General features: G+C 40.6%; 1 protein-coding gene across 6 annotated transcripts, besides 5 other annotated features; it reads left to right on the plus strand.

The window, feature by feature from the left end:
- Window positions 3,341–9,558, plus strand: SFR1 (SWI5 dependent homologous recombination repair protein 1). Of its 6 annotated transcripts, none has more exons than NM_001384830.1 (4): window positions 3,341–3,494; window positions 6,140–6,261; window positions 6,889–7,299; window positions 8,688–9,558. In NM_001384830.1, exons 2-4 carry the CDS (start codon window positions 6,166–6,168, stop codon window positions 8,877–8,879), a joined length of 699 nt encoding a protein of 232 aa, NP_001371759.1. In that variant the 5' UTR covers window positions 3,341–3,494; window positions 6,140–6,165; the 3' UTR covers window positions 8,880–9,558. The 6 variants fall into 6 exon arrangements, with proteins under 6 accessions (NP_001371759.1, NP_660290.3, XP_047280535.1 ...); NM_145247.5 differs by lacking the exon at window positions 3,341–3,494 and adding an exon at window positions 5,283–5,329; XM_047424579.1 differs by lacking the exon at window positions 3,341–3,494 and adding an exon at window positions 5,346–5,971.
- Window positions 3,409–4,608: an enhancer, noted in NCBI's record as "P300/CBP strongly-dependent group 1 enhancer chr10:105879992-105881191 (GRCh37/hg19 assembly coordinates)". NCBI's record gives its function as "activates an origin of replication core promoter dependent on BRD2, BRD4, P300/CBP, MED14 and CDK7 cofactors, with strong dependence on P300/CBP, by STARR-seq in HCT116 cells {active_cell/tissue: HCT116}" and the evidence as "EXISTENCE:reporter gene assay evidence [ECO:0000049][PMID:35650434]".
- Window positions 4,092–4,191: an enhancer, noted in NCBI's record as "active region_3977". NCBI's record gives its function as "activates an Ori minimal core promoter by ATAC-STARR-seq in GM12878 lymphoblastoid cells {active_cell/tissue: GM12878}" and the evidence as "EXISTENCE:reporter gene assay evidence [ECO:0000049][PMID:35858748]".
- Window positions 4,764–5,427: an enhancer, noted in NCBI's record as "H3K27ac hESC enhancer chr10:105881347-105882010 (GRCh37/hg19 assembly coordinates)". NCBI's record gives its function as "activates a minimal SCP1, AML or CMV promoter by ChIP-STARR-seq in naive H9 embryonic stem cells {active_cell/tissue: H9 hESC(naive)}" and the evidence as "EXISTENCE:reporter gene assay evidence [ECO:0000049][PMID:30033119]".
- Window positions 4,822–4,871: an enhancer, noted in NCBI's record as "active region_3978". NCBI's record gives its function as "activates an Ori minimal core promoter by ATAC-STARR-seq in GM12878 lymphoblastoid cells {active_cell/tissue: GM12878}" and the evidence as "EXISTENCE:reporter gene assay evidence [ECO:0000049][PMID:35858748]".
- Window positions 5,112–5,341: a silencer, noted in NCBI's record as "silent region_2795". NCBI's record gives its function as "represses an Ori minimal core promoter by ATAC-STARR-seq in GM12878 lymphoblastoid cells {active_cell/tissue: GM12878}" and the evidence as "EXISTENCE:reporter gene assay evidence [ECO:0000049][PMID:35858748]".

Raw genomic sequence — 13,062 nt, forward strand, 5'->3', positions numbered from 1 at the left:
GAGTGAATGATTTTTTATTCTATACTTCTTTTCCAAGATCCTATTTCTGTAAGAAAGACATATTTTTAGTATCTGTAAGAAAGACATATTTTTAGTATCAAAAAGTAATAATATCACTTGCCAGTTGAGGATCACCAGCATCATCATCAAACTTTATACATTATATGTGGGTAGCCACAGATGTGTCATGGAGGTGGAGAGCTGAGTGATGTTGCTGTCACTGACAAGTGGTATAATTTAGACACAGTATGGGGGACATGAGCACTCGACACAATCTTGCAGGTGGAAGGGAGAGGATCCATGAAGAGGTGTCTTTGCTCAAGCCACCTTGCCCGTCTTTGATCATGCCTCTCCACCTGGTCCTCACGGGGGCTTCAGAAGTTCTGGTCAGGGGCTCTGCATTCAGCAGGTTTGACGCTGCTCCTAAAGGTTGATGGTGTTAATGTAATGTTACTTTGCCTTTGGGAGTGGAGACGTAGTGTTTTCTCCTGATTGGTAGAGTGGTGGGAAAGGGATTAAACTTCATTCTAGCTCTCAGCTCCTGACGTGAGCCAGAAAATTTCTGGTTAGGCTAAATTCACAGATTTTCTCTACTATACTTATCATCAAAGTTTGCCAAGAGGTGGAAGAGCAGAAGCACGAAGATCAGTAGTATCCTAGAATATGGTCTCTTAATTCCCTATTTTCCTGGCACCTTTAAACACCCTTGCTCCCCCGTCTAAAAAATACCACCAAGAAGAAACCTTTTATACCCTCAAGACTGAAACAGGAATGAGAGGCAAGGGTAGAAAACTGAGATGACTTGTTTGTCGGCACTTTAAACAGATTTCAATACTGTGAAATTATCTTGGGGGTTGTTTCCTCAAACTTCAAGGTATTTAAAGATGATTAAAAGACATGTTCTCTTGCTTAAGGATTTGCTGACATGTAATGCTTTTTTTTTCCTCCAAATAAATGCAGGAGTGACATTTAATAAAGAGTCTGAGAAGAACATGGCCCTGAGCAGTACTTTTATTCCCATTACCTTTTAAGAATCTAACTCCTATGCCACTATCCCTCCCCCTCCACCCACTTGCCCTACCTTCTCCCTCACCATTATTAATCTAACCTGAATCACTCTATTCTTCTCCAAGGGAACACACCCAGTAACAGCAGTGAATCATAGACACTATTGCCTCTCTAGTCTCTAATGGATTTGACAAAATGCCAGATCTGGGAGAATAAAAGGACAGGAAATTCAGGTGAAGGGAGCTTTTTAGGTTCTTGTTTAGTACATTGTCCTGAATATTAGTTATTAGATACATTTTCTAGCTGCCTGGTGATGGAAAGGTTTCATTGTGCTAATAATACTGATCCTCTCCGTATCTCCGTGTTCTAAGTAACCATCCTACTCAGTGAGGCAATCGCTCCGGCATGCCTAACAGCTATGTCAAGGGCCCTTTTCTCTTGAAGTTGATAATAAAACCCTCTCTTGCATATCTTGGCTAAAGAATATGAAATAGTTAAATCATAAAGGTCAATGTTTGGTAACAAAGTCTCTACAAGTGCAGCCATTACACATTATGGAATTCCATGTGAGATCGTTAAGGTAATAGAGAAAAAAATAGAAATATTTGTCAATTATTCTCAAAGAGAAATTTATGAAATTACACAGCACTAAAACATCACTTTACCATGGATGGGTCTATAAGATGCGACTTGAATTCATGGCAAGAGAAACTCATAGAAGAGTTTTTGAAGGGCATTTTCAACTTATGTACAAATGTCATAAGAAGTGTTGAAAGTCAGTTAAGAGAATTTGGCAGATTTTCTTGTGTTATAAATTTGTATTAAATTTAGTTTGTTTAATTTGTCCTAATGGACATCATAAATCAACAGAATCATGTGGATTTTACACAATTCCTCACCCAAGTGGATTTTAATCCTAGTTTCAGAAGCGTATATTTTTATCTTTGTTTCTTTTTTTTTTTTTTTTTAGAAGGAGTCTCTGTCGCCCAGGCTGGAGCGCAACGGTGTGATCTCGGCTCACTGCAATCTCCGAATCTCCGCCTCCCAGGTTCAAGCGATTCTCCTGCCTGAGTCTCCCAAGTAGCTGAGACTACAGACGCCCACCACCACGCCCAGCTAATTTTTGTATTTTTAGTAGAGACAGGATTTCACCATATTGGCCAGGCTGGTCTTGAACTCCTGACCTTGTGATCAGCCCGCCTCGGCCTCCCAAAGTGCTGGGATTACAGGCGTGAGCCACTGCACCCGGCCTATGTATTCGTTTCTTTTAAAAAAAAACCTATGGATACTAGTTATGTCTACATGACACAAAAATTTTTGTCAATACAGAAAAGTCTATGGTAATATAATTTAAGTTAGCTTGAGACTATTGTTAAGATTAAAAAATAATACTAAAGCTGAGAATTTAAAAATTAAAATGAACATTTTAATTATGGCTAAAAAGTACGTGTGTTTGTGCTTTTTTGTATAGGTAGAGAGAGAGACTGAGAGACTATTTACTATTCTTTTCTTGCCATTAGACAAGAATAAGAATAAAAAAAATTTTTTTGTAAAACCTCATAAAGATTTTAGGTCTATATCATCATCCCACCAACAATAATTACAGACAAGAACGAAGCATTTTACCACTCCCTGATGAGTAACAAAGTAGCCAACAGTAGCCTTGGGTATTGAAGAAATTTTAAAACACAAGGAAAGCCTGACTTAAGTTGATATTAATTACTATTATTATTGGAGTCTACTGCTTAAATTGTTCTCTATGGCAGGGTAAGGAGTCTTTGCTTCCTGGCTCACTGGGCCAGTATTTTTTCCTGCCTGAAAAGTTTCATACGAAACATACAATGTCCTGTGTCAGAAACACCAAAGTCTTCACAGGCTAATAGATTTGAAGTCACTTAAGACATTGAAATGTACGCTATGCTTTATCTAAAGGTACAATTAAAAGTATGGGGGCTATATTCCAGATCTCTGACATGAAGCCGAGAGGAAACTGGATTTCCAGTTTGTTATGTGAAAAGGTTAAGTAAAATACAAACTTCTGTACAGGGAGATAATTCAGTTCTAATAATGCATGAAAGCCAGAGATGTAGATCAACAAATGCACATTTCTGAAATACGGGTTTTTCTGAGTATATGTTCTGAAGTTCTTTGAAAATCTGGCCAAACAATCCCATTTTAAGATACCAGTTCACATAATAAGCAAGTCAGAACATTTGCAAGGCAAAATGTTGTTTTCCTTTCTGCAGCCAGGAAAAACACAGCTCTAAGCTTAGGTTGTAACGGTAAAAGGATTTGGGAGCTGCTGATTTTAGAGACTCATAAAAACAACTCGCCCTTATGCCGGGAGGTATAAAGAATATGCAGAGTCTGCACTGTGCTTCTAGTGTCAGGACAAATCATTCTGCTTTTTCTTTGAGATTAACTGATGCCAATGGATGAGTAAAGGGAGAAATAAATGTACAGACTGAGACCTGCAGCTTGGTGAGGTGAGTAACACCTTTATCACAAAATCATGAGTTCTCTCTTCCCCTTTGTAAATTCCTTGGGGTTAACTTATGTAATTTTAAAAAATTTTAGGAGTGAAATATGTATTATTAATCATATGTGAGGCTCTACATTTTCTGCTATTTATGGTTTATATTGTGTGGGATCTTACAGATCACAGCATCTTTTTAAAATATATGTGCTTTTTTGGGGGGTGGGAGATAAATCAAGGGGTGAAACTGAAGGTGATACATTCCCTTAAATCCATTAGGGAATGGTGAATACACTTGCATATATAAAATAACTACTGAGTGCTTCCTAGATACCTAGCTCTGTTCCAGCTGCCTCTCACCAGTTCTCATTTAATTCTCCAATCCCATATTAAGAGGTGAAGAAACTGAGGCACAGAATCACCTCATTAAGAAGCACATAAAGTATGGTGCCAGGATTTGAACCTAGACAATTTGACTGTAACGTGTACGCCCCTAATCATTCCCTTAGGTAGTCCTCAGGTTCTGTAATTATTATACCTGACTGCTTAAGACTCAGGTAACTCCCTTTTGGCCACTTCTAAGCCACTACTGTCAGATGTTATTAATAGTAAAGAGACGATATCAATGTTTAAAATGGCCATTCAATAAGAGGACTGAAAACACTGGCCCCTGGAAATTCCCAACTTCCACGTGACTCAGAAGTTACTCAACTCTTTCACTAAACCCAGTGCTCCACCCAATGTAGCTAACTTTGTCGTCGCGTAGCAACAGAACCTCGCCATACTGGAAGCGGGGCGCGGGGGGGGGATTTTCTCGACTGAGGATGCTGCTGCCCGGTAGCCAGCAAGGGCCCTGTCGGTCTCAAACGTGAATTTTGGACCGACACAATCTCATGTAGTGATTGTTCTGCTTCCTGTGTTGCGCCACAACAAATTTCCTTGGGCTACATTTTCCCTCAGATTTGAGTAAAAGATTTGAGGTCACGCTAAGGAGCCTGCATACTGAGGTACAGAAACGGTTTTTTGTTTACAACAACAACAAAAAACCTCGCGACGGGACCGCCGAGTTTGCGGCAGCCAAAAAAGCTAGCGATGAGCTCAGCTAAAGTGCCGGGACTCTCGGATAGATTTCTAACATGTTTGAAATGTGGACCCCAACGCTGGAACCCAACGCTGTTCTTTTGTGGTCTCTGGAACCACCACGCTGGAATAGGCTGGAACCCAACCAACGCTGTTCTTTTGTGGTCTCTGCCTCTGGGGAGTCCACAAGCTGTAAATCTAACATGCAGCCAGCCGTGCGGCTTCTGGCCGCCCCACGTCTGAGTAAAGCCTTCACTGTGACTAGCAGGGAGAGGAGACTGACTGGAGCCAGAGAATGGAGGCGGCGGGCTGGCGGGGGTGGGGAGAGGCACTTTCAGGCGCACTTCACAGACGCACAAAAACAAGGAAGCCTGAAGGGAAGGCGGTTGAAAATAAGGCAACAGAAGCCGCGAACGGAAGCGCGCCCCCCTCAGGATTGGTTTAACATTCCGAAGCTCAGCCTCGCCCGCCCCGAAGACCTGCTGCGGATCGCGGCCGCGCGCGCGCGCACTCACGCTGCTCTCGGGCGCTGGGCGGGGAGAGCCGCGCGCACCGGTTAATTCTGCCAATCATGCGTCTGGGCCTCCCATCGTGTGGGCCAAGCCCCGCCCCAACCACCCGCTGGCGGAGGCGCGCGCGCAGTCCCACCGCTCTGAGTCGCTGAGTGAAGCGGCGCCTCGCGCGTCAGGCAATCTGGCCAATTGCGCATCTTTTCCGCCTACCGCACGGCCCCGCCCCTGCCACAGGATCGATTTACGGCCGCAGGTGCGCGCGCTTTTTTGCTCTCGCTGGGAATGGCGGAGGGAGGTACCCTGCTGAGGGGAAGGGGGGATCCCTGACACCTGGGCTTCCCCGGGAGTCGGCTGTGGAGTCGAGTTGAGCTCCCTTTCCGGGTCTGGGGAACTCAACCTCACCTTATGCCTGGGGTCTCCGGGGAACTAGTGGGCTTTCTGCAACGGGGGGAAGGAGGGGACGACTCCCGCCCCTAGTTTACCCCTCAAAAGTTAATGCCTTTGTCGGAGGAAGCAATTTCAGTCCACTCTCCTTTTCAGTCCCTGTTGGCCGCTTAAACTAAAAGGCTACAGACGGGCTTAAATGCGTCTCCGCTGTGTTTCTTATGCCTCGGGCCGGCAGGGTAACGGGTTCTAGTCACAGCTTGTAGAGTTCAGGATGGGTGACATTCAGGTCCTATTGTTTTTGAGTCAAGGTTTCGGCTATAGCTTCTTGAATTATGAAGCTGTCATAATAAAGAATTCCTGATTATCTAAAGCTGTTATTCTTCCCTACTTCCAAGGCAGAATTTGAATATATTTTGGTGGATGAAACGAAAACAAGGAGAGTCTTGTGACTATGAGATACTAGCTGGTTGATGTATCATGAAAAACTTAGTGGTCCCTATGTGGGAAGGTAAATGGAAAACTGCAAAAAGAGCAAGAATGAATTACAAAGTGAAATTAGAAGAAATATCTGGCTTACTTGTGGATGCTTTGTACACCAATACAATATATTATTTGATAAAAGTCGACTATAGAGAGGTGTGGTTAATTCGATTATTTTATAATTTTTCTTTTTTAGAGAAAAACCAAGATTTCACTTTCAAGATGGAAAGTCCGTCAGACTCAGCTGTGGTTTTACCTAGCACTCCTCAGGCCTCTGCGAATCCATCATCTCCCTATACAAATAGTTCCCGAAAACAAGTATGAAAATCTTTGTTCTTCCAGTGGATCCATTATGTGTTTCTAAGTATTGTGGCAGTGGTGGTTTAAATTCTACGGAAGGTTGTTAATTAACATAATGTGTAGCATAAATAAGTAGACATTTTATTAAATAATTTTGTTTTTCTTCTAAGGTGACATATATGACACCCACCAGCCCCCTTCCATATTTTCCTCTTGAATGAATTCATTTCAGTTAGTTTCAGATTAGGTTATTACAATACTCCAGATGGAGAAAGTTTGCATCTGTGCAATATTATTATGAAGGTCTTTAGTGGCAGAGTCTAGGTCTTTTCCTTACTCTGTAATTCTGAAGCACCTGGAGTACTATCAGGCATGTGCTTGTTACTGAACAAATGTTCCTTGATTACTGGGATAAACTTCTCAACACTTTTGGAAAGGTGTTGATCTTGCTGAAGTAAAAAGGAAATAAAACAAATGGAGCTTCCAGAAATTAAAGTCATTTTGTGATGCCTTCTTTAGATGTGGAGACAGAAAGCCATCTAGTGGTGTCTAGCATAGAAATGGAAGGACTTTATTTCTGGTGATTTATTGACATTAAGAATGTTTTTCTTGATTCACATTTTTAATGTTTTGTGCTCTTTATAGCCTATGAGTGCAACACTTAGAGAAAGATTAAGGAAAACAAGATTTTCATTTAATTCCTCTTACAATGTGGTGAAACGTCTTAAAGTAGAGAGTGAAGAAAATGATCAGACCTTTTCAGAGAAACCAGCATCTTCCACAGAGGAAAACTGTTTGGAATTTCAAGAAAGTTTTAAACATATAGACAGTGAATTTGAAGAAAATACAAATTTGAAAAATACTTTGAAGAATCTCAATGTCTGTGAATCTCAGTCACTTGATTCTGGATCATGCAGTGCTCTCCAAAATGAGTTTGTGAGTGAGAAGCTTCCTAAACAAAGATTAAACGCTGAAAAAGCCAAATTGGTGAAGCAGGTTCAGGAGAAAGAAGACCTTCTTCGGAGGCTAAAACTAGTCAAAATGTATAGATCAAAGGTGAGAAGAATTTCAGGACCATTGCATAATTTTTATTTTTACATAAATTACAGGAAAGTAATTTCAAAAATAGAATTTTTTTTTTTACCATAATAAGCAATAAGCCAAATATTCAGAAACCTGGCTTCCAACAGCTTTAATTCAACTCCAGATTTAGAGTAGAAAAGGCCCTTAAACACCAGGTAAAACTTTTTAAGAATCTCAGCTCTGATTTAATATGCAGTTAAACTTTTCTCTCTAGTTTCTAGCCCACAGCAATATTAGAAGTATTAAATGTTAGATGCAAGTACAATGGGAACAGAAGTGAAAGCTGACAGTGAATTAGTAAAACTAAAAATGGGCTGTAGAGTACAATAAAAGGTATTTTTAGTAATGATCTTGTGTCTCCCCCAAATAATTAATGTGATTCAGCCATTTTATTTGAGAAAATATATATATATATATATTATATTTTAGATTTCAACCCATATAGGTTGAATTAAATAGAACTTGGGTACTTGGAAGGAGAATAATCTTTATTACCTGGAAAATTCATATATATGCAATAGCTCATTTTCCCTGAATTACGTGGAATAAGTGATGGGATAGTGTATCTCATTTGTTCTCTTGAAATTCTGGAGTTTTTAAAAAATAAAATTTAGGAGTATTGAATGTTGAAAAAATATATTTTATTTATTTATTCATTCTTTTTTTAGAGACATGGTCTCTGTTGCCCAGCCTGGAGGGCAGTGGTGCAGTCATAGCTTATTGCAGCCTTGAACTCCTGGGCTCAAGTGATCCTCCCAACTCAGCCTCCCTAGTAGCTGGGACTACAGACATGTGCCATCACACCTGGCTAATTTTTTAAAATTATTTTTTTGTAGACATAGAGTCTTGCTATTTTGCACAGTGTAGTCTTGAACTCCTGGGCTCAAGCAGTCCTCCCACCTTGGCCTCCTAAGGTGCTGGGATCCCAGGTGTGAGCCACCATCCCCAGCCTAAAAAAATATTTTTAACTTGAATATTGTAATTTTAAAGAGCAGTTTTAGGTTCATAGCAACATTTAGTGGAAAGCATAGTGTCATTTTTTAAAAAGTACAGTTGTAATACAGTAGATTTTTCCCTGTATTATTGCTTCTTGACATAGTTTTGGCCCTATTTAATGATTTGATTTTTCCCTTATCATAAAGATGGCCCAGAGCTTAAGCCAACAAAATAGCCATAGAACTCAAGTTGAGTGACATTGTAACCATTCTACATATGACCATCCTACTTTTTCCTAGATAGAAGTCCCATTCATCCCTGTGTATGTTAGCCTTTAAACCTGCACATCCACTAATTTAACAACTTTAATTAAGTTGAACTAGCATGACTAGTTATTGACATACATGTTTTTTTTTCTGTTTCAGAATGATCTGTCTCAGTTACAGTTGTTAATAAAGAAGTGGAGAAGCTGTAGCCAGCTCTTGCTTTATGAGTTGCAGTCAGCTGTGTCTGAAGAGAACAAGAAACTAAGCCTTACTCAATTGATAGACCACTATGGGTTAGATGATAAATTACTACACTATAACAGAAGTGAAGAAGAATTTATAGATGTTTAATTCCTGATTTTTGCTCCAGAATATCTTTGAGAATGACAACTTAATTAAAAGATACTTAGGCACTTTTTTTTTTTTTTTGAGACTGAGTTTCGCTCTTGTCATCCTGGCTGGAGTGTGATGGTGCGATCTTGACTCACTGCAACCTCTGCCTCTCGGGTTCCAGCAATTCTCCTGCCTCAGCCTCCCGAGTAGCTGAGATTACAGGCGCCCGCCACCATGCCCGGCTAATTTTTGCATTTTTAGTAGAGACTGGGTTTCACCACGTTGGCCAGGCTGGTCTCGAACTCCTGACCTCAGGTGATCCACCGCCTAGGCCTCCCAAAACCATTAGGGCTCAGAGGAAGGTATCCCAATGAATATCAATTAAGGGCACTTTAATATATAAATTATAAACTAAGTTCTAAAAGGAAAATTAGTATTTTGGATAGATTTGTCAAAACGACATTTAAGTCATGTTTAAAAAGTCATTTGGGCAGTTCTGGAAACTAGTTTTAATACATTTGTTTTTTATGACAAAAAGTTTTATTTTAAATGTTAAAAATTGTCCAATCTGGTGAATGTCTAACCCTAAAGTTTAAAAATTTCTGCCTCCTAAGTTTATGTACCTTGTTTCCATCCATTTACCACATATTTCCATCTGATAGTCTAGCAGGTAATTAAACTTATATGTCCAAAACCATATTCTTCCCTGTCTCTTCAAATGTGTTTTGCATATTCATCATTTAGTGAAACAACCATCTATTTCTTCTTCTTTTTTTTTTTGAGACAGAGTTTTGCTCTTGTTGCCCAGGCTGGAGTGCAATGGCACGATCTTGGCTCACCGCAACTTCCGCCTCTGAGGTTTAAGTGATTCTACTGCCTCAGCCTCCCGAGTAGCTGGGATTACAGGCATGAGCCACCACCCTGGCTAATTTTGTATTTTTAGTAGAGACGGGGTTTCTCCATGTTGGTTAGGCTGGTCTTGAACTCCTGACTTCAGGTGATCTGCCCGCCTCAGCCTCCCAAAGTGCTGGGATTACAGGCATGAGCCACCACACCCGGCTAAACCATCTACTTCTTATAAAACTACATTTCCTTATCTCCCACCCACATGAAGGTATCATGGCATATAAGGTTCTTCGCATTTGTTTGCCTTTCTAGCTTCATCTGTGAAATGGGTTAAATTTAGATTGGTTATTCTATTTATGAACCCACCTCCACAGGTTGGGTTTCTGCTGCCAAATTATACAGTTGTACCTATCATTTTGGCCATATATGGAGATAGGACCCAAACTGGGCCAGTCTCTGAAAATTTGGAATTTAGCTCAGGAAAAGAAAGCCCATCTCTTTTTGTGACTGCAGCTGTTGTATATATACCTGGAAGCAGCAGAGCTGACATGCTTAAGGGCAGTGAGTGTGCTTACCGAGAAAGGCAGAGGTGATAGGAGAGAATTTTATGGATCAGTGGCTTCCTGGTTTTAGTTGCTAGTCATTCTTAAGAGCTTTCTGGATTTCTGCTTTTGGGTCCTTTTAAGTGTTAAAACAGCTTTACTTAGCTTTTTCAAAAGCACTTCCCTACTAGTTTAGCACTCCTCTGAACCCCCCTCAAGTACATCCCACTTTCAGTCCAGTCCCTCCACATAATCTAACCAGTGTTGAATGGTTGGCACAGCAGGAGACGCCAGGGCCCTGCTTTTGTGTCCATTCTAATTGTTAGTGCCATGCCAGTAAACTCTTACCCTGCCCACATACACAAATTCCTGTGCCGCTGGCCTTTATGAATCTGAGGAGACTGGCCCAGACATCATATGAGCTGCCTCTAGCACTGGGATTCCTAGATGGGCACCCCTGTGGACTTCTACTGTTCTAGTGCTTATCAGCCAGCCTCTTATCACTGCTTGCTGCCAACCAGGGGCCTAAATGTGGCAGGGGAAATGTTGCCCCTTGTGGTGGTGCTGGCATTTTGTAGGTCATTATGGTATTTCTCCAGATCTCAGAGGCTGCAGCTGCCCACTGCTGACAGGCACATCACCTGGAGCCACCCATATATATACACTTGGGGGAAATACAGCATCAGCGAGACTCTGGTTCTGGGAAAGCTTAGGGGCATGGTAATGGGGATTTCCAGGGCATTGACTGGGTGCTGAGGTTCCAACAGCACAGCAGCTGCTCTGTTGGATTTAATGGGATGCTTTTATTAAAAACCACTGACTATGACAGCTTTACTTATAAAAATGAGAGCTAATACAACATAGCACTTGTTTTTAATTTTAAAAAACTAGAATATTCCAGTTTTAAAGAAGAAGAAATATAAGATAGTTATTTCAAAATTAAGAGGTTATTTAAAACTCCAATGGCAGAGCCAAGATTTGAAGCCCAGGAATAGATCCTATAATTTTAATTCCTATGCATAAAGCCATACTGTGTCTGATCCAGTTAATTATATCACTAGTTGATAATATAAATAATATTTTAAAGGACTATAAAATATGAATATATTTGCTGTTCAGCAGAAGCTGAGAGGAGTCAATACCATGAACAGTATTAAGAGAGGAGTTACTGTGCATGACCCACATGTCCTTCCAAAGCCCCAAAACCAGAAGGTATCTCCCGTTGAAAGGGCTTCTGGAATAGGGCTTGATGGCAAGAGGTGCCCACTAAGCCCCACTCCATCCATGCCTCAAAGTAAGGCAGTCAAGCAAGGAACATTGCCAGAGTCAACAAAGGTTGATGACTAAGAAATAGAAATGATGCCGGCTGCTTTGTTAAGACCTGGGAATCCACAGAGCATTATCTAGTGAAATTTGTGGCACTACTAGCAAATGGAGTCTCCAGACAGCTAACTTAGGTGAAAATGGAGTTTGTGTCACCAGAAAAGATTGTAAAAAAAATCAAGTCTAGTACATCTATGGTTGACTCAAACCAACAGGACAGAGAACTTCTGGCAATACCATCTTAAGTATAAAGTATTTGCACCCCTACCCTGGGGTCTGTCCCCACAACTCTCATCTCAGGGATAATTTTGAAGGACCCCAGATGTAGGAAATGGTACCCATGGGCACTTCCCTACTGAATACGCCAAACTGACTACTTCATGAGTCCGTCTAGTACAAAGGAGGGGAATCATCAAAGTGTTGGTCCTATCATTTCCCTTACCATCCCCATCCAGCACAGATCACTATGTGGGTGATCAATTACATCTTCTAAAGATTTATTTTGCTAAACAGAAGATTTTATAGTAGCTCTCTTGCTTTATCTACATCAGTGTATATTGGATATGGTACTGAGGATTAAACTTAACGTTGAGTTCATAAATTGCAGAACAGTGAGACAGTGACATCACTTGGAGATTGTGGTCCATGATCCCTGTGGACAGCAGTCCACAGGTTATGGAAGGGCAAAGCAGTTTTATGGCCAATTATTCATCTCATTATATAATTATCACCATCTAAAAGTGATAAACTACTTCATGGAAATAAGAAAGTATTTTTCTGTTGGTTAAACCCTATTGGGTAAAGCACAAAATTGAATTTTCTATTACAACATAAAAGAAATGTAGATTATGTCTCTAAAGTATGTTGTAATTTTCTTCTGAGATGGAGTCTCGCTCTGTTGCCCAGGCTGGAGTGCAGTGGCACATTCTCGGCTCACTGCAACCTCCACCTCCTGGGTTCACACCATTCTGCTGCCTCAGCCTCCCCAGTAGCTGGGACTACAGGCGCCTGCCACCACCCACCACGCCCGGCTAATTTATTTTTATTTTTATTTTTTATTTTTAGTAGAGATGGGGTTTCACCATGTTAGTCAAGATCTCCTGACCTCGTGATCCACATGCCTCGGCCTCCCAAAGTGCTGGGATTACAGGCGTGAGCCACCGTGTCTGGCCAAAATATGTTGTAATTTACAAATGATACAAGGCTTGGAAAAAGCTCTAACAATTTGTCTTGTTCTCATTGGTGCAGCAGAGAATAATCTAAATACTCTCGTAATTTTTTTCTGATTATGAAAGAAATGCTTACTGAAGAAAATGAGAAACAGAAGAGCATAAAGATAAAAATTACCCATAATCTCATAACTTTTCTGACAGTTTCATAAAATTAGAAATGCTAGTTTGGCAAAGAATTTCTTTTTAAGACTTTCTATACCATAACTATGAAAATATCTTTGATCCAACTCAGATTAAATGAGTAAAATAGATCTTGAA

The sequence above is a fragment of the Homo sapiens genome, chromosome 10 (assembly GCF_000001405.40).
Source record: "Homo sapiens chromosome 10, GRCh38.p14 Primary Assembly".
In the NCBI taxonomy this organism is placed as follows: Eukaryota; Metazoa; Chordata; class Mammalia; order Primates; family Hominidae; genus Homo; species Homo sapiens.